The sequence below is a fragment of the Homo sapiens genome, chromosome 13 (assembly GCF_000001405.40).
Source record: "Homo sapiens chromosome 13, GRCh38.p14 Primary Assembly".
In the NCBI taxonomy this organism is placed as follows: Eukaryota; Metazoa; Chordata; class Mammalia; order Primates; family Hominidae; genus Homo; species Homo sapiens.
In genome coordinates this window covers 63259399-63283198 of record NC_000013.11, presented here as the reverse complement: position 1 = coordinate 63283198, position 23800 = coordinate 63259399, and the positions used below count along the sequence as shown (strand labels likewise).

The following is a 23800-nucleotide window of genomic DNA, read 5'->3' as shown; positions in this document are numbered from 1 at the left end:
CAGGGTAGAGAGACAACTCACAGAGTGGGAGATAATATTTGCAAACTATGCATCCAACGAAGGTCTAATATCCAGAATTGACAAGGAACTGAAACAAATCAGCAAGAAAAACAATTCCATCAAAAAATGGGTAAGGGACATGAACAGACATTTTTGCAAAGAATATATACAAACAGCTAACAAACATGTAAAAACTGCTTAACATCACTGATCAGGGAAATGAAAATCAAAACCAAAATGAGATTCCACCTTACTCCTGCAAGAACAGCCATAATTAAAAAGTCAAAAAACAATAGATATTGGCATAGATGTGGTGAAAAGGGAACACTTTTACACGGCTGATGAAAATGTAAATTAGCACAACCACTATGGAAAACATTATGGAGATCCCTTAAGTAACTAAAACTGGAAATACCATTCAATCTAGCAATCCCTCTACTGGGTATCTACCTAAAAGAAATGAAATCATTATATGAGAAAAGACACTTACACAGGCATGTTTACAGCAGCAAAATTAGGAATTGCAAAGATATTGAACCAATTTAAGTGCCCATCAACCAAAGAGTGGATAAGGAAAATTTGGTATTTATATATACCATGGAATACTACTCAGTCATAAAAGGAACAGAATAATGTCTTTTGCAGCAATTTGGATGGAGCTGGAGGCTATCATTCTAAGTGAAGTAACTCAGGAATGGAAAACAAAGTGTCATATGTTCTCACTTATAAGTGGGAGTTAAGTTCTGAGGATGCAAAAGCATAAGAATGATATAATGGACTTTGGAGACCTGCTGGGGGATGTTGAGAGGGAGGTGAGGGATAAAAGACTACATATTAGGTACAGTGTACACTTCTTGGGTGACAGGTACACTAAAACCTTAGAAATCACCACTAAAGAATTTATCCATGTAACCAAAAGCAACTGCACCCCAAAACCTATTGAAATAAAAATAATTATTGCCTTATATGTAATTCTAACATAAGTATATAGAGGTTATATTTAATTCAGTCATTCAACTCAATATTAACAGAATACATATACAGAATACATGCAAGGACAAATAATTCTGTTCATAATTTAGAGCATGTGAAAATACACTGTGGATAAATGTTTATTACTTCTTAATTATAATTAGACATTCATTTCAAGGGAATATATGGAGTATACCACTACAAAAGTTGTAACTTGAAAGAGGGTGCTTTAGTTGTAATGTTTGAAAGAATTCAAATACAACATTGAATGGCTTTTAATATCATTCCTTTGTATGTCAAGTTTAAAAATTATTTTTAAAGCATAGATTTCATGTGCCAAATATTTTTGGTGAAATATGGGAGAATTCAAAGACAACATTAAATGGCTTCTAATATCATACCTGTGTATGGCAAGTTTAAAAACTATATTTTCAAGGCATAGACTTTATGTGGTAAATATACTGCTGATATATTAAAATAAAACTGAACAATACCACAAATTCTATTTCAGCCAGTAACCTGTCTGCTTCAATTTTTACTGTTATTTCTACATTCTTAACTGTTTCCAACAACTCAAACCAAGTGTCTAGCAGATCCATGAGAAGAACAATTTTATAGTCGATCAAAGATGAAACAGTAGGCATGAATTGCACTGAAAATATTGTTTGGTTGCCTTTCCTGTTTCATCTTCAGAAACACCTATCATCACTAAAGACATCCTTAATTCACTGAAAATTGCATTCAACTTGACATTCAAAAGTCTTGGATTCCAGATCTACTGTTCCCTACATGTGTGAACTTGATAAACTCACTGATGATTATGAGTCTCCTTTGCTTTTTATATAAAGAAAATTATGTTACTTTGAACAATATAAAATTGTCTGTATTTTAGTTTTGATCTTCAAAATAATAATTTCATATAGTACAATTTTACGGAAGTTGTTTCACTCTATTGCTCTGTGTAATCAGAAAATACATGGGGAAAATTTTAATAAAGTCCCATGTATGAACATAAAGTTGGTTTACTCGAAAATTTTCTATTTAAATGAAAGTTCTATTATTGGTATCATAATTTGTCTTTAAACATTTTTTCCAAAGTAAAAGAATAAGAAAGAAATAAACTGAAATCATAGTAGTACTAGTTGGTTGAAATATTGCTACCATTCATCATTAGTTGTGGAATTCTTGAAACTCAAAAACTTCAGAGTATCTAACTGATGGGTAGCACAATTCAGTGGCAAGCACAAGTGTATTAGAATCAAATAGATCGGAGCTCAGATTCCTACTTCTACACTTACTAGTTGCTTTATTTTCCGAAAATCACATAATCTCATCAAAATCAATCTCCTTACTTATAAAATATCAAATTTGTAGCTTGTAAAGGATATATCAGATTATATATGCAAATAACTTACATACAGCATGCATTCAATAAGTATTGATTTATTTAACTTCCCCTTCTTTTTTCATTTTATTTTATATTAACTTGAAATTTCTTTGATGACTTAAGATTCTCTTGCACCCTAAGTCTTCAATGAGATTCTCTAAGAAATCCTGAATATGTGGGTCATATCTCATAGGGCTATTCAATAGATGTTAGTTAATTAATATATTAAATAATAAGTATATAATTATGCCTTGAAAACATAAATCATACAGTGGTTCAGGGTTAGTAATTTATGAATAATTACAGACACAGATACATTTGAGATTTTGTAAATTCAGTCAATTGCCTCAAGACACAAACATATATTATAAAACACGTGTAAGGAATTGATTCTATTAATGTCATATTATTCAAATAATTTGTGAAGTTAAATCCTGTCATTCAGGACTAACTGCCAAACAGAAATCAGAGTATTTATGTAAGAATATATATAATGTTTGCATTTGAAATTTTTCAGCACATTTACTAATATGGTTTTACTGATGTGGTTTGGCTCTGTTTCCCCACCCAAATCCCATCTCAAATTGTAATTCCCATGTGTTGAGGGAGGGACCTGTAATCTCCACATTTCCAGGGAGGGAGGTCATTGGATAATGGGGGGTGGTTTCCCCCATGCTGTTCTCATGATAGTGAGTGAGTTCTCATGAGATTGGCTGGTTTTATAAGTGTTTGGAAGTTCCTCCCTCACTTTTCTCTCTCCTCTTGCCTTTTGAAGAAGGTGTTTGCTTCCTCTTCGCCTTCAGCCATAATTGTAAGTTTCCTGAGGCCTCCCAAATGATGAGGAACTGTGAGTCAATTAAACCTGTTTCCTTTATCAATTACCCAGTCTTGGATACTCTTTATAGCAATGTGAAAACAGACTAATACAATACTGAGTATTAGTCTTTATTATTTTATTATATAAATCATATATAACTTTTAAGGAAACATGTAGATCCAGTCTGCTGAATATTTCATGAGGGGTTCAGTTTTATATATTTTAAGTATAGGCCTGTAGTGAAAAAATTATTCCAAAGAAGGTGTAATGCACTTCTGTGACCCCAGTATCTCATCATTATTGTTAATGCCCTGATCCTGGGCTGAACCTCTTTTCTTAAAATGAGGGAAGCTGGACACCAACTCAAATAATTTTCCAAGGAAATATTGAGGTTATTTTAATTACTCCTTTACAGCTCAGTTACACACAAAAAGAGACTACAGTCAACCCCCTTGTCTGTGAAGGATACACTCGAAGACCCACAGTGGGTGCCTAAAACTGTGAATAGTACTGCATCCTAGGTAGACCATGATTTTTCAATCTATTAACTGACATGGCTACTCAGTGACTAAGGGGCAGGTAGCATATATAGTGTGGATATGCTGGACAAAGGGATTATTCACATCCAGTTCCTATGACGTAGGATCATGCTACACAGAACAAAGGGCAGTTAAGAACTTACAACATTTCTGAAAACTATCTATTTAATATTTTAAGACTGAAGTTGATCATGTGTTACTTAGCCTGTCGAAAGTGAAACTGCAAATTAAGGGGACTTCTATACACACACACACACACACACACACACATTTAGTTATGAAATAAGTTATTTTTATTTTACTTTGGAATCTTCTAAATAATAATGATCATGATATTGCCCATAAACTCTTTATTGTTAGAAGACAACAATATATTATCTATGAATGACAAAAAAGTTTAATGCTAATGGTGAATTTATTTTATACTTAGGGGAAAATCTATCTAGTTCATCCACTCTGATTAAGCAATATAGTCTTTTTGCATTTTTCATTTGTATAAATTAAGGAGGCACAAGTGCAATTTTGTGTATGGATATATTACATGGTGATAAAGTCTGGGTTTTAATGTAACCATCACCTGAATGGTGTACTTCGTATTTATTAAGTAATTTCTCATAGCTCACTCCCACTCTGACCCTCCCACACTTTAGAATATCCAGTGATTATTATCCCACACCCTATGTCCATGTATATAATTTATTTTGCTCTCATTTATAACTGAGAACATGTGATATTTGATTTTCTGATTCTGAGTTGTTTCACTCAATATAACGGTTTCCATGTTGATGCAAAAGATATGATTTCATTCCTTTATATGGCTGAATAATATTCCCATTGTGTGTGTGTATATATGTAGGTTAATATAGATATATATAGTGTATAATCCATTGGATATATATGTGTGTGTGTAGATTGTGTCTATATATGTGTGTATATTGTGTATTTACACATAATACATTTACTTCATCCATTGATCTGTTGATGGATACTTAGGTTATCTTAATGATATTGGTTCTTCCAATCCCTGATCACAGGATGCTTTTCCATTTCTTTGTGTCATCCACAATTTTTTTATTAGTGTTTTATACTTTTCTTTTTAGAGGTCTTTTACCTCCTTGGTTAAATATTCTCTTAGGCTTTTTTTGTAACTATTGTAAGTGGGAATGTATTCCTGATTTTTTTCTAAGCTTGATTGCTATGGTGTGTAGAAATGCCACTAAGTTTTGTATGTTGATTTTGTATGCTGAAACTTTCCCGAATTTTTTTTTTTTTTTTATCAATTCTAAGAGTTTTTTTGAAAGAGTCTTTAGGGATTTCTAGGTATAAGATCATACAGTCAGTGAACAGAAATAATTTGACCTTCCCTTTTTCATTCAGATGCCTTTAATTTCTTGCCTGATTTCTCTGGCTAGGACTTCCAATACTAGTGGTGAAAGTGGGTATCCTTGTTCTATTCCAGTTCTTACGGTGATTGCTTTCAACACTTTCCTCTTCAGTATGGTGTTGGCGATGAGTTTGTTGTATATGAGCCTTATTGTTTTCAGTTTTCTTCTCTCTATACCTAGGTTATTGAGGATTTTTATTATTAAGGGATGCTGACTTTTGTTGAATGCTTATCTCTAACTGTTGAGATAATTATGGTTTTTGTCTTTAATTCTGTTTAGGTGATGAATGATATTGATTTGCATATGTTGAACCATCCTTGCATACCTGGAAAAAAGCCCACTTGATTGTGGTGTATTATTGTTTTGATGTGCTGTTGGATCCAGTTTTCTAGTTGAGAATTTTTACATCTGTTTATTAAATATGTTGGTCTGTAATTTTCTCTTTTGTTGTGTCCTTGTATGGCTTTGGTATCAAAATGATACTGGCTTTGTAGAATGTATTATGGAGGATTCCTTCCTCTGTAATTTTTTGGAATGCTTTCTATAGGATTCATGCAAGTTATCCTTTGTACATTTGGTAGAATTTGGCTCTGAATCTGTTTGGCTGTAGGCTTATTTTAATTTGGAAGTTTTCTTATTGCTGATTCAATCCCACTACTCATTATTGGTCCCTTTTGATTTCTTCCTGTTTCAATTATGGGAAGGTGTATGTTTCCAGGAACTTACTACTTTTCTCTGGGTTTTCAAGTTTGTGAATGCAGAGTTGTTCATAGCATTCTCTAGTGATCTTTTGCATTTTTGTGATATTAATTATAACGGTTTCCCTTTTATTTTTTACTATGTTTATTTTGAGCTTTTCCTTTCTTGGTTAGTCTAGCTACCAATTTAAAAATTAATTTTTAAATTATTTGCATTTTTTGTTGCAATTTTATTTAGTTTTTCTCTGATGCTTGTTGTTCTTTAATTTTTCCAGCTTTGAGTTTGTTTTATAATTTGATGTGTGATGTTCAGTTAATTTAAGACCTTTCAATCTTCTTAAAGTTCATTTAATGCTATATACTTTTTACTTGGGGTTGCTTTTTTTTGTAACCTGGAGGTTTCTGTATGTTGTATTCCCATTTTTATTCATTTCAAAGAGTTAGGAGTGTGATGTTTAATTTTTATGTTTTTGCATGGCTTTGAGTATTTCTCTTGGTATTAATTTATACTTTTCTTCCACTGTGGTCTGTGAAGATATAATTTTGAATTAAAAAATGTATTGACATGTTAGTTTTATGGCCTAACATATGATCCATCTTAGAGAATGTTTCTTGTGCTAATGAGAAGAATATATATTCTGAAGTTGTTTAGAGCAGTTTGTAAATATCTATTAGGTCTATTTGTTCTAAAATCCAATTTAATTCCCATGTTTCCTTGAACTTTTTCTGTCTCAATAATCTCTCTAGTGCTGTGAGTGGGATGTCAAAACCTCACTATTATTTAATTGTTGTATATATCTTCCTTTAGGTCTAGTAATATTTGTTTGATTAATCTGAGTGCTCTGGTGTTTGGTGAATATATATTTAAAATTATTATATCCTCTTCCTAAGTTGATCCTTCTTTCAGTCTATAAGGACTTTCTTTGTATTTCTTTCACTGTTTTTGGTTTAAAGTTTGTTTTATCTGATGTACGTTGAGCTACTCCTGCTTGCTTTTGGTTTGCGTTTGTGTAGAATATTTTCTCACCTCTTTACCTTCCGTCTATAAGTGTGTTTACCAGTAAGGTGAATTTCTTGTAAGCAGCAAATGGTTGGATTGTTATTATTTTTTTAAACCCAGTTTGCACACTACATGTTTTTATGTGTAGCATTTAATCTATTTATAGTAAAAGTTAATATCAACATGTAAGAGTTGTTCTTTTCATAATGTTCATTTTTATCTGTCATTTTGTGGGTTATCTTTTTTCTTTTATATCTCCTGTCTGTCTGTCTTTGTGGTTTGGTGGAGTACTGTTGTGTTGCCATTTAATTTCTTTCTCTCTTTCTCCTTATGTTATTATTTTATAAGATCTGTGAGTTTTGCACTTTCACGTATTTTTATAATAGTGAGTATTTATCTTTTGTTTCTATGTTTAGAATTCCAAAATTGAAGCATTTCTGGTACAGCTGATCTAGTGATGACAAATTCCTTCAGAGTTTGTCTAGGAAACACTTTGTTGTGCCTTCATTTGTAAAAATTATTTTAGCAGGATATATATTTTATGGTTGACATTTTTTAATTTAAGCACCCTAAAAATAGGTTCACAATCATTTGGAAGGTTTCTTCTGAGAAATCCATTATGAGTCTGATGGAGTTTCCTTTTAGGTGGATAGACAATTTTCTCTTGCTGATTGTAGTATTTTCTTTCTTCACATTATTTTAGACAGTCTGATGACTATGTATTATGGTGATACCAACGTTACTGGTGTTTGTTGGGTCTCTTGTATATGGATGTCTATATGTCTTGCAAGACTTGGGAGGTTTTACCAATTATTTCCTTAAATAGATTTTTCAAACATTTTGTTTATTTCTCCTCAATAAAACCAATCATTCATAAATTTTAAGACTTTAGTAGGTCTCATTTTTATTGAACACTTTGTTCATTCCTTCTTATTCTTCTTAAAATTTTCGTCTTACTGGATTAATTCAAAAGACCTTTCTTCAAGTTCCGAGATTGTTCTGCTTGGTCAGTCTTTGTTGGAGATTTCTACTGTATTGTATATTTTCTTCAATATTTTTTATTTCCAGAAGTGCTATTTTTTTATATCTGTGTCCTTGGTTAATTTCTTATTCATATTCTGAGTTTAATTTTCTAATGTCTTTGAATTGGTTTTCTGATTTCTCTTGGATCTAATTGATCTTCTTTAAAACATGATTTTGAATTTATCTGGCATTAAAATTTTTCATTTTTCTTAGAATCCATTGTGAATTTTGCTACCCCCTGCTTTTTCATAAATAATTATTATGCTGAATTTTTTCTCATCTGGAGAAACTGTCATTTCTTGTTTTTTAATTTACATTCATTAGGATGGGACTTTTTTCTTGAGGATGTGACTATAATGTGTCTTGAGCAGGGACATTTGGGTTTGTTTCTGCATGTGTTCAATGGTTTCTGCACGTGTTCAATTATTTGGTTATAGAAAGCTTGAGTGTGCTGACTTTCTCAAATGCCAGTTTTAGTTGAAATGTACTTGGAGTGTCAGCAGGCCAGTCTCCTGTGAAGCCAGTGTGGCAGTGGTCACAAGAGACATATTATTCCCAAGTGCTATGCACTTGTGTCAATGTAATTTTTATAGGGTGTGCAGATCAACCACCAGGCAAGTAGGTGACACAGGTAAGGGTAGAAGAGGAGTTCTTCTGTGTCACAGACAGTGAGCTAGGCTGTGGAATACACTTGAGTTTCACACTCAGTCTCAAAGTGGAGGCAAAGCTGGGTTCAGCTGGGCTGGGCAATTCCACAATTGGGCCCCCCAGTAGTGAATGCAAGCACCACCTCTGCCGGAATCTGGAGGGCAGTTGCCAAAAGCCTGGTGAAGACTGAAGAAACTGCTGCTGCACCAAGTTTCTTGTATGGAAAAGGAGAAGTGGCCTAGGCTCCTAGTTCAGGCAAGTAGATATAGGACCTGCCTCCCTGTTACTCCTCATAATTTATGGAATTTCCTTCTCAATCTGACAAGAAAGCAAGCTGGAGCACATGCAGACTTGCCTTAAATTGCAAAGTGATCTCTTTCTCCAAATCTTGCCTCCCAGGCAAAACTGAAGCTGCAGTGAATCTTTTATTGCTCTGGTTCCATGAAGTAGAAGAGCCCAAATCCAGAACTTACAACTAAAATGCACTTCACACTCATCACTCAGTTCTGGCTGCTCAGGCCCTTCTCATGCTCCACTTAGTACTCCAATCTTCTTCCTGTAATAGTCTAATGCCTGCAGAAGCTGCCACTTCTAGATCACAAATACTACTAGCTTGCTATGAGCAAAGATTAAAAATTGTGTCCTCCTGTTATTCCTGGGTCTGGTAAAGTGTCTGAAGCTGTTCTCAGGGCCTTTCCTTCACACAGTCTCCCACACTCTCCCCAGGATAACTCTAGGGCTTGGAAATTGCAAGGTATTCTTCCATGGCTTGGGCTGCATGGTTTTCCAGTGGAATGGTGGATTATAGAGGGAACTGGAGAATTAAAAAGATGGCCATATAGAGCATGGTCCTGTGGAAATTTGGGGGGTCTCTTAGCATAGCACAAGTCAATGCCCATGGAAAGAGTTCCCCTGTAGGACCAAAAAGTGACTGGAATTTTTACAAACATATATCCCTGTGTATTCTTTTGACATGGTCACTTGGGTCCATGGAATGAGCAAATACACAAATAATTATCACTGTGTTACAAATGCCTATAGTATTTGGTACAGTAACATGCTGTATGGGTTTGTAACCTAGGAGCAATTGGTTATATCATAATCCTAGGTGTATAGTAGGCTATCCCATCTAGGTTTGTGTAAGTACGCTTTATGACATTCACACAATAATAAAATCATAAACAACACATTTTTCAGAATGTATCTACATTGTTAAGTGACACATAACTGTGTACTTTTCTGACTATTATGAAACCACAAGGAAAATTGCTGGATAATTATCCAAGATTTCTTTCTATTATCTATAGGAACCCTAACATAGACATTGATTTTTTTATATAGACTTTTTTGTTATATTCAATGAAGCAAGTTTTGGGTTGAAGATGATGGAAGAAATGTAGCCCTGGGTGATACTATTGCATCTGAATTAGGCTAAATTATGTAAAAAGAGTTGAAAGAATAACAAAGGAAGAGTATAATCATGTTTACATTGACAAACATGTCATATTACGTAGGGAGATAAATACTCACATGGAAGTCCATGTTAGGACAGGTAATATGATTACAAACCTGTCCTCTACCCCCATTAAACCTAAAGCATATAATTAACTATTTTAACTATAAGAAATCTATCTCAGCCGGGCGCGGTGGCTCACGCCTGTAATCCCAGCACTTTGGGAGGCCGAGGCAGGCGGATCACGAGGTCCAGAGATTGAGACCATGGTGAAACTGCGTCTCTACTAAAAATACAAAAAATTAGCCGGGCGCGGTGGCGGGCGCCTGTAGTCCCAGCTACTCCGGAGGCTGAGGCAGGAGAATGGCGTGAACCCGGGAGACGGAGCTTTCAGTGAGCCGAGATTGCGCCACTGCGCTCCAGCCTGGGCGACAGAGCGAGACTCCAGCTCAAAAAAACAATAAAAATAAAGAAATCTATCTCAAAGGCTTGAGACAAGAAAGGAAAACATCACTAAAAATAATGCTTTCATTATGACCTCGTGAAAATATTTAGGTAATGTATTTCTAGAGATGCCTATGACCTAGTAGCAAATAAATAAAATGTCATATATAATCCCAAACAAATGTCACTGTATTTCTTGGCCCTACCCAGCTGAATTCAGCTTTTCAGGTATGAAGGATCAGCCATTCGGATCCAGAAAAGATCTGAACTTTACTAACACATAACCTTTCTTAACACATGGACACTTCACACATCATACTTACTGGTGTAGTTGTGATTCAGGTTAAAACAATTACTTGGCGAGGCATTCTAAAAATTTATTAATCTTTTCACTATGTTCATATGATAAGGTAAACAAAATAATAGTCTGGATCTTTTTATCTCTCTCATTAAATTAAACATTGACTGAAAAATATGCTGTATACAACTGTCATACATTTCCCTTTCAAGTGATTAAAAATCACATTGATTTTATTACTTGCTTCAATAATTTACTTTTCAGAAAGACATATTTATGAAATTGTATTAGATATATTAAAGTACATACTCCAGAAGATTAAAACCTAAGTATACTTATTAAAAATGAATTTATCTAAAAGGTATTATAAGTAGTAATAACAAAAGGGAAAAATGTCCCCTTGATTTCTAATCAGAAAAATGTATATGAAAATTACTTTGAAACATCATTATATTATTTATGAACTAGCAAATATTTTGACAATAATGAGAAATGAGAGTACATAATAAAGTCATTAAAATAATGACACTTTGCTAAGACTAACTTTACTGACCTTCTTACTTCTGAGAGCAGTATATGTTGTTTCTCTTATAGAAATATAGTTCTTCATATATTCTTGATAAAGTTATTTGATATATGTAGTGTGTATATATTTTTCCACACCAAGATTATGTCTTTATTTAGTGAAGTCTGTGAAGTTTTTAATTTTGATAAAATGCAATTTATTATTTTTTCTTACATTATTATGCTTTTTGTGACTTTTCTAATTCATATTGCCTAACTTGAGATCTAATTCATATTGCCTAACTTCTGTTTTTCTGGTAAACATATCTTAGATTTAGCTTTAACAATAAAGCCCATAGCCATTTTGAGATAATGTTAATGACATATTTGAAGACAGATTTGAGGTTCATTATTTTCCATGTAGATAACCAATTGTTTCAGTATAGTTTGCTTGAAAATCTATTTCTCCATGAATTGCATTGGTATATTTGTTTAAAATCACTTGAGCATTGAACATATGTGTGTATATCCATAGCTATGAATTCTCTTCTCTGTTCCATTAATCTTTAAGTTATTGTGATATGGTTTGGATGTGTGTCCCTGCCCAAATCTCATGTTGAAATTTAATTCCTCATTTTGGAGATGCAGCCTGGTGGGAGGTAATTAGATTATAGATACAGATTTCTTATGAATGATTTAGCACTATCACACTTGGTACTGTCCTTGCAATAGTGAGTTATCATGAGTTCTGATCATTTAGCTCCTGCTTTCACCATGTGATGTGCCTGTTCATGCTTTGCCTTCACCATGATGGTAAGCTTCCTGAGGCCTTCCCAGTAGCAGATGCTGCTATTCTTCCTGTACAGCCTGCAGAAACATGAGCCAATTAAATCTATTTTCTTATAATTTACCCAGGCTCAGGAATTTCTTTATAGTAATTCAAGAATGGATTAACATAGGAAATTGGTACCAAGGAGCGGGGCATTACTATAAAGATACCTGACAATGTGGAAGTAACTTTGTAACTGGGTAACAGACACAGGTAAGAAGAGCTTGGAGGGCTCAGAATAAGACAGGAAGATGAGGGGAAGTTTGGAACTTCCTAGAGACTAGTTAAGTGGTTGTGACCAAAATGCTGTTAGCGATATGAACAATGAAGTCCAGGCTGATGAGTTCTCAAGTTGAAATAAGAAACTTACCAGCAAGTGGAGCAAAGGTCACTTTTGTTATGCCTTAGCAAAGAACTTGACTGCACTGTGCCCCTACCCTAGGGATCTGTGGAACTTTGAACTTGGGAGTGATGAGTTATGGTATCTGGAAAAAGATATTTCTAAGCAGCAAAGCATTCAAGATATAGCCTGCTGCTCCTAATACCCAAGCTCATATGCAGAAGCAAAGGAATGACTTAAAACTGGAACTTATATTTAAAAGGGAAGCAGGGAATACAAGTTTGGTAAATTTGCAGCTTGGCCATGTGATAGAAAAGATTAGCCCATTTTCAGGAGAAGAATTCAAATGGGCTTCTGAGCAATCACTTGATAGAGAAATTTGTATAATTAAAATGGAGGCAAGTGGTGAGAACAAAGACAATGAGAAAAAAGCCTCAAAATCTTTTCAGAGATCTAAGAAGCAGTCCTTCCTATCACAGGCTCTGAGGCTTAGGAGAACAGAATGGTTTTATGGGCCAGGCACAGGGTTCTGCTGTCCTGCACAGCCTTGAGACATGGCTTCCAGCATCCTGGCTGATCTAGCTCCAACTGTGGTTTAAAGAGGCCCAGGTACAGCTTGGGCCACAGTTCCAGAGGGTGCAAGACGTAAGCCTCAATGGCTTCCACCTAATGTTAAGCTTTCAAGTGTGTGCACAGTGAAAGAATGAATGAAGCTTTTTGATTATGGCTCTTCTTGAAGGAGTAAGGTGGTATTGCACTGTGGTTTTGATTTGCATTTCCATGATCATTAGTGATGTTGAGCATTTTTTCATATGTTTGTTGGCCATTTGTGTATATTATCTTGAGAATTTTCTATTCATGTCCTTAGCCCACTTTTTCATGGGATTGTTTGTGTTTTTCTTACTGATTTGTTTGAGTTTGTTGTAGATTCTGGATATTAGTCCTTTGTCAGATGTAAAGGGTGTGAAGACCCACTTTGGGGGTTGTCTGTTTACTCTGCTGACTGTTCTTTTTGCTGTGCAAAAGTGCTCTAGCTTAATTAAGTCCCAGCTATTTATCTTTGTTTTTATTGCATTTGCTTTTGGGTTCTTGGTCATGAAATCCTAGCCTAAGCTAATGTCTAGAAGGGTTTTTCCAATGTTATCTTCTAGAATTTTTAGAGTTTCAGGTCTTATATTTAAGTCCTTATTCCATCTTGAGCTAATTTTTGTATAAAGTGAGAGATGAGGATCCAGTTTTATTCTCCTACATGTGACTAGTCAATTATTCCCTCACCATTTGTTGAAAAGGGTGTCCTTTCCCCACTTTATGTTTTTGTTTCCTTTGTCGCAGATCAGTTGGCCTGTAAGTGTTTGGGTTTATTTCTGGGTTCTCTATTCTGTTTAATTGGTCTATGTGCTTATTTTTATACAAGTACCATGCTGTTTTGGTGACTATGGCCTTACAGTATAGTTTGAAATCAGGTAGTATGATGTCTCCACATTTGCTCTTTTGTTTAGTCTTGCCTTTGCTATGTGGGTTCTTTCTTGGTTTCATATGAATTTTAGAATTTTTTTTCTAATTCTGTGAAAATTGATGGTGATATTTTGATGGAGACTGCATTGACTTTGTAGATTGCTTTGGGCAGTATGGTCATTTTCACAATATTGATTCCACTCATCCATGAGCATAGGATGTTTCCATTTGTTTGTGTTTCCTGTGATTTCTTTCAGCAGTAATACATAGTTCTCCTCGTAGAGGCTAAGGATTTAATTTTTTGCAGCTATTGTAAAAGGGGTTGAATTCTTGAATTGATTCTCTGCTTGGTTGCTGTTGGTGTATAGAAGAGCTACTGATTTCTGTATATTAATCTTGTATCTGAAAACTGCCGAATTTTTTAAATCAGTTCTAGGAGCTTTATGGAGGAGTCTTTAGGGTTTTTTGGGTAAATGATCATATCATCAGCAAAACAGTGACAGCCTGACTTTCTCTTTAACAATTTGGATTCCTTTATTTCTTTCTTTTGTCTGATAGCTGTGGCTAGGACTTCCAGTACTATGTTGAAGAGGAGTGGTTAGAGTGGGCATCCTTGTCTTGTTCCGGTACTCACAGGGAATGCTTTCAACTTTTCCCCATTCAGTATTATGTTGGCTGTGGGTTTGTCATACATGACTTTTATTACATTAAGGTATGTCCCTTGTATGCCAATTTTGCTGAGCATTTTAATCATAAAGGGATGCTGGATTTTGTCTAATGATTTTTCTGCATCTATTGAGATGATCATGTGATTTTTGTTTTTAAGTCTGTTTATGTGGTGTATCACATTTATTGACTTGTGTATGTTAAACCATCCCTGCATCCCTGGTATGAAATCCACTTGATCATGGTGGATTATATTTCTGATAGGTTGTTTGATTCAGTCAAAAAAATTTAAAAAAACAGTAGATGTTGGCGTGGATGCAGTTAACATGGAAACTTCTACACTGCTGGTGGGAATGTAAACTCACACAACCACTATGAAATACAGTGTGGAGATTCCTTAAAGAACTAAAATTAGAACTATCATTTGATCCAGCAATCCCACTACTGGATATCTACCCAGAGGAAAATAAGTCATTATAAGGAAAAGATACTTGCACAATTGCAAAATCATGGAACCAACCCAAATGCCCATCAATGGAGTGGAAAAAAGAAATTATGATGTGTATATATACATATATATATATAATGGAATACTACTCAGTCATAAAAATAAATGAGTCAGTGGCATTGCTGTGACATGGATGAGATTGGAGACTATCATTTTAAGTGAAGTAACTCAGAAATGAAAAGCCAAACATCGTATGTTCTAGCTGATGTGTGCAAGCTAAGCTATGAGGATGCAAAAGTATAAGGATAAAACAATGGACTTTGGGGACTTGGGGGGAAGGGTAGAAGTGGGGCAAGAAATAAAAGACTACAAATAGGTTGCAGTGTATACTGCTCTGGTGATGGGTGCAGCAAAACTTCACAAATCACCACTAAAGAACAACTTACTCATGTAACCAAACACCACTTGTACCCCAATAAAGTATGGAAAATAAAGAATGAAGCTTAAGAGCCTCTGCCTGGATTTCAGAGGATATATGGAATATCTTCGGTGTCCAGGCAGAAGTCTGCTTCAGGGTTGGAGCTCTCACAGAGAACCTCTACTAGAGCAGTGTGGAAGGAAAATGTGGGTTAAGAGCTCCCCCAAGTCTCCACTGGGGCACCTCCTAGTTAAGCTTCAATAAAAGGGCCACCATCCTCCAGACCCCCACATAGTAAATCTACCAGCAGCTGGTACCCTGAGTTTGGAAAAGCTGCATGTGCTCAACAACCTGTGAGAGCAGCCTCCGGGGATGAACACTGCAAAGCCACAGGGGCAGAGGTACTCTTTGGATTCCCTTTATTTCTTTCTCATCTGATAGCTGTGGCTAGGACTTCCAGCACTATGTTGAAGAGGAGTGGTGAGAGTGGGCATCCTTGTCTTGGTCCAGTACTCTCAGGGAATGCTTTCAACTTTTCCCCATTCAGTATTATGTTGGCTGTGGGTTTGTCATACATGACTTTTATTACATTAAGGTATGTCCTTAATGTAAGGTGGGCCTTGGGAGCCCACCCATTGCATCAGTGTGCCCTGGGTGTTGAACATAGAGTCAAAGGAGATTATTATAGAGCTTTAAGATTTAATGACTGCCCTACTGGGTTTTGGACTTTCCAGGACTTTTAGCCAATTCCTTTTGCCTAATTTCTCCCTTTTGGAATGGGAAGGTTTACCCAATGCTGGTGCCTCATTGTATCTTGGAAGTAACTAACTTGTTTTTTTATTTTATGGGCTCATATGTGGAAGTGACTTGCTTTGTCTCAGGTGATACTTCTGACTTTGGACTTTTGAGTAAATGTTTGAATGAGTTAAGACTTTAGGGGATTATTTGGAAGGCATGATTGTGTTTTGAAATGTGAGAACATAAGATTTATGAGGGGCCAGGACTGGAATGATATAGTTTGGATGTGTGCCCCTACCCAAATCTCATATTGAAGTGTAATCCCCAATGTTGGAGGTGGGGCTTGCTGGGAAGTATTTGGACCATGGGGGAAGACTTCTTATCTTGACTCACTGCAACCTCCACCTATGGGGTTCCAGAGATTCTCGTGCCTCAGTCTCCTGAGTAGCTGGGGCTACAGGTGTGTGCCACCATGCCTGGCTAATTTTTGTATTTTTAGTGGAGTCGGAGTTTCGCCATGTTGCCCAGCCTGGTCTGAAACTCTTGACCTCAAGTGATCTGCCCGTCTTGGCCTCTCAAAGTGCTGAGATTACAAGTGTGAGACACTGTGCCTGGCAGAGACTTCTTATAAATGGGTTAGCACCATTTCCCTCTTTATTGTCCTCATGAGAGTGAGTTATTTCTCATGAGATCTGATTATTTAATAGTGTGTAGCACCTCTCCCCTTAATCTCTTGCTCCTGCTTTCACCATGTGATATGCCAGCTCTTGCTTCACCTTCTGCCATGATTGTAAGCTTCCTGAGACCTCCCCAGAAGCAGATTCTGCTGTGCTTCCTGTATAGTCTGAAGAACTCTGAGCCAATTAAAACTATTTTCTTTATAACTTATTCAGTATCAGGCCTTTCTTTATAGCAACACAAGAATGGACTAATATATATCCTTATGTAAATTCTACCTTGTATATATTGCATTAGTTTTTAAGTAAGTTCTAATATCAAGCAACAAAATTCCTCAATTTTATTTTCCAAATAATGTTGACTATTCTAAGTTCTTTGCATTTTTATGTAATTTTATAATCAGCTTAACAATTCCTATATGAAAAAAGTATGCTGGGATTTGGATTGGAACTGTGGTTGATTTATGGATGACTTTCAAAAAAGTTGGCACGTAACAATACTAAATTAAATTGAATTAGGCCTAAAGCTGCCTCTGCATTTTGCATTTCTTCATAGTGAAATGAAACCTAACTATTGTGCAAACAAACTGCAACCTAACTTGAGTGTATACTCTTATAACAAATAACTGAGTCTCAGTCAATCACAGCAGTTGAGCTTCAGCCAAACTCAGGCTCCCAACTGATCAGACTATGTCTATATAACACAAATACCTCATTACATGATACCCATAAAGGTAAAAAATTCAGCTGTAACCAATCCAGCTGTTCCTATATCTCACTTGCTTTTTCTGTCTATGAATGCTGCCTGTGAAACTGTCTGGAGCTTTCTGAACTTTTCCTAGTTTTGAGTACTGCCCCATTCATAAATCATTCTTTGCTCAAATGAACACTGCTAAATAAAATTTGTCTAAAGTTTTTCTTTTAACAACAATGTTAAGTCTTCTCATTCAAAAACATGGTTTGTCTCTTCATTAATTCATGCCTTCCTTAATTTATTCAACAATGTCTTCAGTATATTAGGTTTGTGTAAGTTTTAATACGTTTATTTCTCAAGATTTCTTATTTACTGAGAATGTGAAAATATATTTTATTTACTTTTCCAATTGTTTCTTGCTAGTATGTAAAAATATAATTTTATAAGTTGCCTTTTTATTTTGGAGTATTCCAAATGTTATTTATTATGTCTCAGAGCTTCTCTGTACTTTCATTAACATTTTTTACATAGACAATAATCTTTAATTATTATATTTTCTTTTTTATACTCAACATTTAGTTTATCTTTTTCTTGTTTCCTTTCATAGACTAAAGTATTTGGAAAATTAAGTATATATTGGTGAGAAAAGACAATTTTATTTTTTTACAAGAACATACTATACCACCTGGGTTTGTCCTTAATAAAGTTGAGGACGTTTTCTTTTATTCCTAGTCTGCTGAGAATATTTTCCATGAATTATTAGTACATGTTTGGCTGAAGTATTCTTGCACAATGAAAAGTTGCATGGACCTGCAAAAGTCTTAAACTCTAACACTTGGAAAAATTAAATTTATTGAGGGTATGCTCTCAGATGTTTCTAAGGAGGAAAAAAGCATACTTTTGGAATATTGAAGGAAAGATGAATACTTGTCTATAATGTAGTATCTCAGAGTATTAAGAACTTATGTAAACATCCTCATGACCAGATATGTAAAATAATTTTGGAATAAAACATTGTACCTGATGTCGATACCATAGTAAGGATAGTAAAGATATATACTAAGTATAGTTGAAGTTGACTTTCTTTTAAAGTGCTTATATTTCAATTGTGGTATAGAAATAATATGTATTCGAAATTCAATGGATCTTACTATTTGCAACAAAGAAATATTATATTGACTGCAGACGAGAGGCTTTTTCCTCATTGTTAAAGAATTATCCCACATAAATATTCCTTATAAGGGTAGAGTCTGAGAAGAGAAACACATATAAAAATCCTACTTGATGCAGAAAAATGGTATTTTACATAATTACACATACATTTATAATAAAATTTCTTAGAAATCTAGAAATCAATGTGGCTTTCCTAAATATGATAAAGGAAATTTATAAAAAAACTGTAGATAATATCATATTCAATGAATATGAATGATTTCCTCCCAACATTGGCATTAAGAAAATATTTTTGATTTTATCATTTCTGTGTCCAGAGTTTGTTCCTTCCAGTGGGTTCGTGGTCTCACTGACTTCAAGAATGAAGCCACGGACCCTCGCGGTGAGTGTTACAGCTCTTAAAGATGGTGCAGACCCAAAGAGTAAGCAGCAGCCAGATTTATTGTGAAGAATGAAAGAACAAAGTTTCCACAGCATGAAAGGGGACTGGAGCAGGAAGCCGCTGCTGGCTGGGGTGGCCAGCTTTTATTCCCTTATTTGTCCCCACCCATGTCCTGCTGATTGGTCCATTTTACAGAGTGCTGATTGGTCCCTTTTACAGAGCACTGAGTGGTCCATTTTACAGTGTGCTGAGTGGTCCATTTTACAGTGTGCTGAATGATCCATTTTACAGGGTGCTGATTGGTCCATTTTACAAACCTCTAGCTAGTCACAGAGTGCTGATTGGTGCATTTTTACAGAGTGCTGATTGGCACATTTTACAAACCTGTAGCTAGCCACAGAGCACTGATTGGTGCATTTTACAAACCTCTCGTAAGGCAGAAAAGTTCTTCAAGTCCCCACCTGACCCAGAAGTCCAGCTGGCTTCACCTCTCAATTTCAACTAATATCATGCAGAGACCCTAGCTAGTGCAATAATGCAACAAAAAGAAATAATAACATACATCAGAAAGAAAAAAAAAATCAATGATTTGCTAAGTACAAGATTTTCTTCATAGAAAATGCTATACCACCTGCAAAAACCCACCATAACTAAAAAGTTAATTTAGTAACATTTCAAAGCACAAAGTTGTATATAAGAAACCAGTTACATTTAAATATATTAGCAATGAGCAATTGAAAACTGAAATTAGAAAAAAGTATCATATATTGATACAAAACCTTAATATATATGTACGTATAAATCAAATAAAATACATGCAATCTTTGTATATAGAAAACCAAAAACCAATCATGACAGAAATTAAAGAAGATCTAAATAAATGGAAAATCAAAATAATACGTTCTTGGATTGGAAATCTCAATACTATTAATACAAATTCTTCCAAATAACAAGCTGATGGTAAAATTTAAATGGAAAAGAAAACTACTTAAATTAATTTTAAAAAACGTAGACCAACCTTAGAAGGCTCATTCTACCTTATTTTACATAATATTATAAAGCTATTACAGTATAGTGTGGTACAGATGACAGAGTAAACATAAAGATCAATAAAATAACATATAACCCAGAAATGGATCCACTTATATAATACATAGTTAACTGTTTTTCCAAAAAGTGGTAGAGACAGCTTGGTGGAGAAAGGGTAGTCTTTCAAACAAATGGTAGTGGAATAATCAACATGCACAAAAAATAAGAAAGAAAAAGAAACCCAAACCATATCTTGAACCACATATAAAAAATTAGGTAGAAATAAATCACACAAAAATGTAAATCCTAAATGCATACAGCTTCATACAAAGAAAAAATTATTGCTATTCTTAATTTGTCCATTATATTTTATGTAGGACAAGAAAAGCATGAAGCATAAAGAAAATATTCAGAAATTGGACTTCATTAAAATTAACACTACTGCTTTTCAAAAGTCTCTAAAAAATGAAAGGATAAGCCACAGTTTGGGAAAAATATCTGCAAAATACATATTTGACATAGGACTAGTATCTAAAATTTATAAATAACTTTCATAACAAAAAATGTAAGAGCAAAACAATCCAATTTTTAAAGGGGAAAATGATTTCGATGCTAAAAGAATTTTATGTGTTGCAAATAAAAACATGAAAAATTGTGCAACATTATTAACCACGAGAAAAATATAGATTGAAACTATAGAGAATACCAGTAAACATCCACCTCAGTCAACACGTTATTTAAATAAGTGGCAATATCTATTTTTGGCAAAGATACAGGGCTTCTGGAACTCTGAAACCTTCTTGGTTGGAGTGCAAAATATTAGAGCAACTTTGCAAAATATTTGAGTCTTTTTAAAAATATCTAAAAATACACAATGCACAAATGATAATTTTTGCTACTAGATATTTACTCAAGATTAATGAAAACAAATAATCAAAGATCTGCACATACATGTTTACATCACTTTTACTCATCATTGCCAAAAATTGGAAATATCTATCAACTGACGAAAGAATAACTAGTCTATGATTTTTCAATATAGTTAATTTTATTTAGCAATAAAATGGAATGGATTAATGTTGCCTGTAACAACATAAAAGAATTTCACATTAATTATGGTGAGGGAAAGAAGTCTGGAAAAAAAAATTATATAAAGACAGACTACAAATCAGAGGTTTCCAGAGTACTTTCAGGAGTATGAAGTGGGGTGAGGAATTGACAGAAACTATGACAACATGCAATTTAAATTAAACTATGTATTATAATAAAATATTCATTACTAAAATTATCTCTGCTAATCTTAGTAAAATATTTTGCCATAAAATTACAAGGTAATAATGCACCAAAACTATTGGTGCATTAATAGAAAAAAAACTATTAAGAACACTGGTGGTGATATAGCAGATTTCTGTCAACATGATCAATACCTGTACCAGAATCAAATATAGGTTTTTCTCAAATAAACCCAAAATCGCAAATTTAGAAATGGTCAAAGTATATATTGTTTTATTTACTTTTGAAATGTCACTTTGCTTCCTACATAGTAAAGGTGTATGTAGGGATAAAAATATATTCATGGCAATGCATTAGAAAATCATTTCAGTAGTCCAGGCTAGCAACATTATGAGTTAGAAAAGAGTAAAGCGGCCACCTCTTCTCAGAGGTGGAAGTGACAGAGTTTACAGTTGAATTATTTTTGGGTCCAAGGGAAAGCGTGAGATGAAGAATGAATTTAAGACTAGACTTGAAAACCAGTAAATGTTGAGGTAATTTATTCAGAGGGAAAAGTGAGAGGTGATGAAAGTATTGATGTTGGTTTGTTTTGTTTGTTTTTCATTTATTGAAAAACAATAAATGAAAATTTTTATTTCATTTTATTATTTCTTCCCCCAGAGGGTAAGTGAGGAGTGGTATTTGAAAGAGGGGAAGAACATTTCAACAGTTTCATTTTGGACATGCTAAATTTGAGATACCAGTGGAGGATACAAGTGCACAGTGAGACATGAAAATCCCCTATTAAAGCTCAAGTTGAATGGAAGGATTCAGACTGAGGATAGTTATTTGAGATAAATAAATATATTTATTTACATATGTATTTTAAAATATGAGCCTGTTTAAGATCACATTACAGCACGTAGAAAGAAAAATAAAGGAGATTCAAGATAAACTCTGGAACATTCTAAAATCTAAATATTTAGTAAGGTAGAGCAGTCAACAATTGGACACTGAAAAGAAGCATTCAGAAAAAAAAATCAGAATATGAGGAAAATTAGAGAGATATGGTGTCAAAGAATCCAAAAAAACTGTCAAAACTTTGAAAAATTAAGTAATATATTATTAGAAAGTGTCTTTGCTGAATTAATGACAGTCCTAGGCTGTTAGATTCTTGTTCCCTTGTGAAGTGGGTTGATGTCCTTCCTCTTGAAACAAAATGTGCTATGTGAGCACTTGACAAGTATGATATGGCAAAATTGACACCCTTCCAGTGTCTGGGCCTGAGTGTTAGGAGCCTGGAAGTTTCCTCTTTCTATCTCATAGAATACTTTTCTTGGGAAAACCAATCAACAGAAAAAGAATGTATATTTATCCTGTGGCCACCATACTGTGAGGAATCCAAGCTAGCTACATGAAAGGTCACACTGAGAGATACACATATATACAGAAGCCTTTGGGAGATTCGAGTCTCAACTACCATATGCAGCAGTCATATCAGAAAAAAGCAAGACCAGCCCAACTGAGTTCATGAATATCCAGAAATACGAGATTATAATAAGTGATTATTTTAAGTCACTAAATTTTTTTACTTTAAAAATTAACCCAGAGCCTGGGTGCGGTGGCTCGCGCCTGTAATCCCAGCACTTTGGGAGGCTGAGGCGGGTGGATCACGAGGTCAGGAGATCGAGACCATCCTGGCTAACACGATGAAACCCCGTCTGTACTAAAAATACAAAAAAAATTAGCTGGGCGTGGTAGCAGGTGCCTGTAGTCCCAGCTACTCGGGAGGCTGAGGCAAAAGAATGGCGTGAACCCAGGAGGCGGAGCTTGCAGTGAGCCGAGATCCTGCCACTGCCCTCCAGCCTGGGCGACAGAGCAAGACTCCATTTCAAAAAAAAAAAAAAAAAAAAAAATTAACCCAGTATTAGAGCAAATTTTTGCATCTTAATCGGCTTTTCAACAACCACCTTTTAAAATGTTTAGTCATCTTTAATGTTTGTCAGATTATTATTTTTAACATTTGTTTTGTGGTAATTTCATTGCCTTTACTAATATGCATCTTCTTATTTGATCACACTTATTTTCAAATTTTGCCATTTCATATAATTTATTTCCTACTTGTTAGGTTGTCTTTTGTTTCCAACTTATGTTTGACTCTCCCAGAAGTTATCATTTATTTTATATGGAGTATTAAGTACAATACTTGTATTGATATCTTCATCATTATTGCTAATTTTACTTTCCTTTACATAAAAATAAATTGCCTTTTTGTTAAATTACACAGTTTACATATTTCATATGGTTAGGCTTTGTGTCCCCACCCAAATCTCATCTTAAATTATAATCCCCAAAAACCCCATAATCACCATGTGTCAAGGGAGAGACCAGGTGGAGGTATTGGATCATGGGGGAGGTTTCTCCCATGCCGTTCTCATGATAGTGAGTGAGTTTTCAAGAGATCTGATGGTTTTATAAGTGTTTGTTTGTCCCTCCTATGTTCATTCTCCTACCTGCCACCTTGTGAATAAGGTGTGTTGCTCTCCCTTCAACTTCCACCATGATTGTGAC

General features: G+C 34.6%; 1 long non-coding RNA gene across 1 annotated transcript in view; it reads left to right on the top strand.

The window, feature by feature from the left end:
* LINC00376 (long intergenic non-protein coding RNA 376) overlaps positions 1 to 23800 on the top strand; it is a 144994-nt gene that overhangs the window by 44896 nt on the left and 76298 nt on the right. The window contains exon 3 of the long non-coding RNA NR_126409.1: positions 18924 to 18988. This is a non-coding gene — a long non-coding RNA (long intergenic non-protein coding RNA 376). The remainder of the gene's footprint in view (positions 1 to 18923; positions 18989 to 23800) is intronic.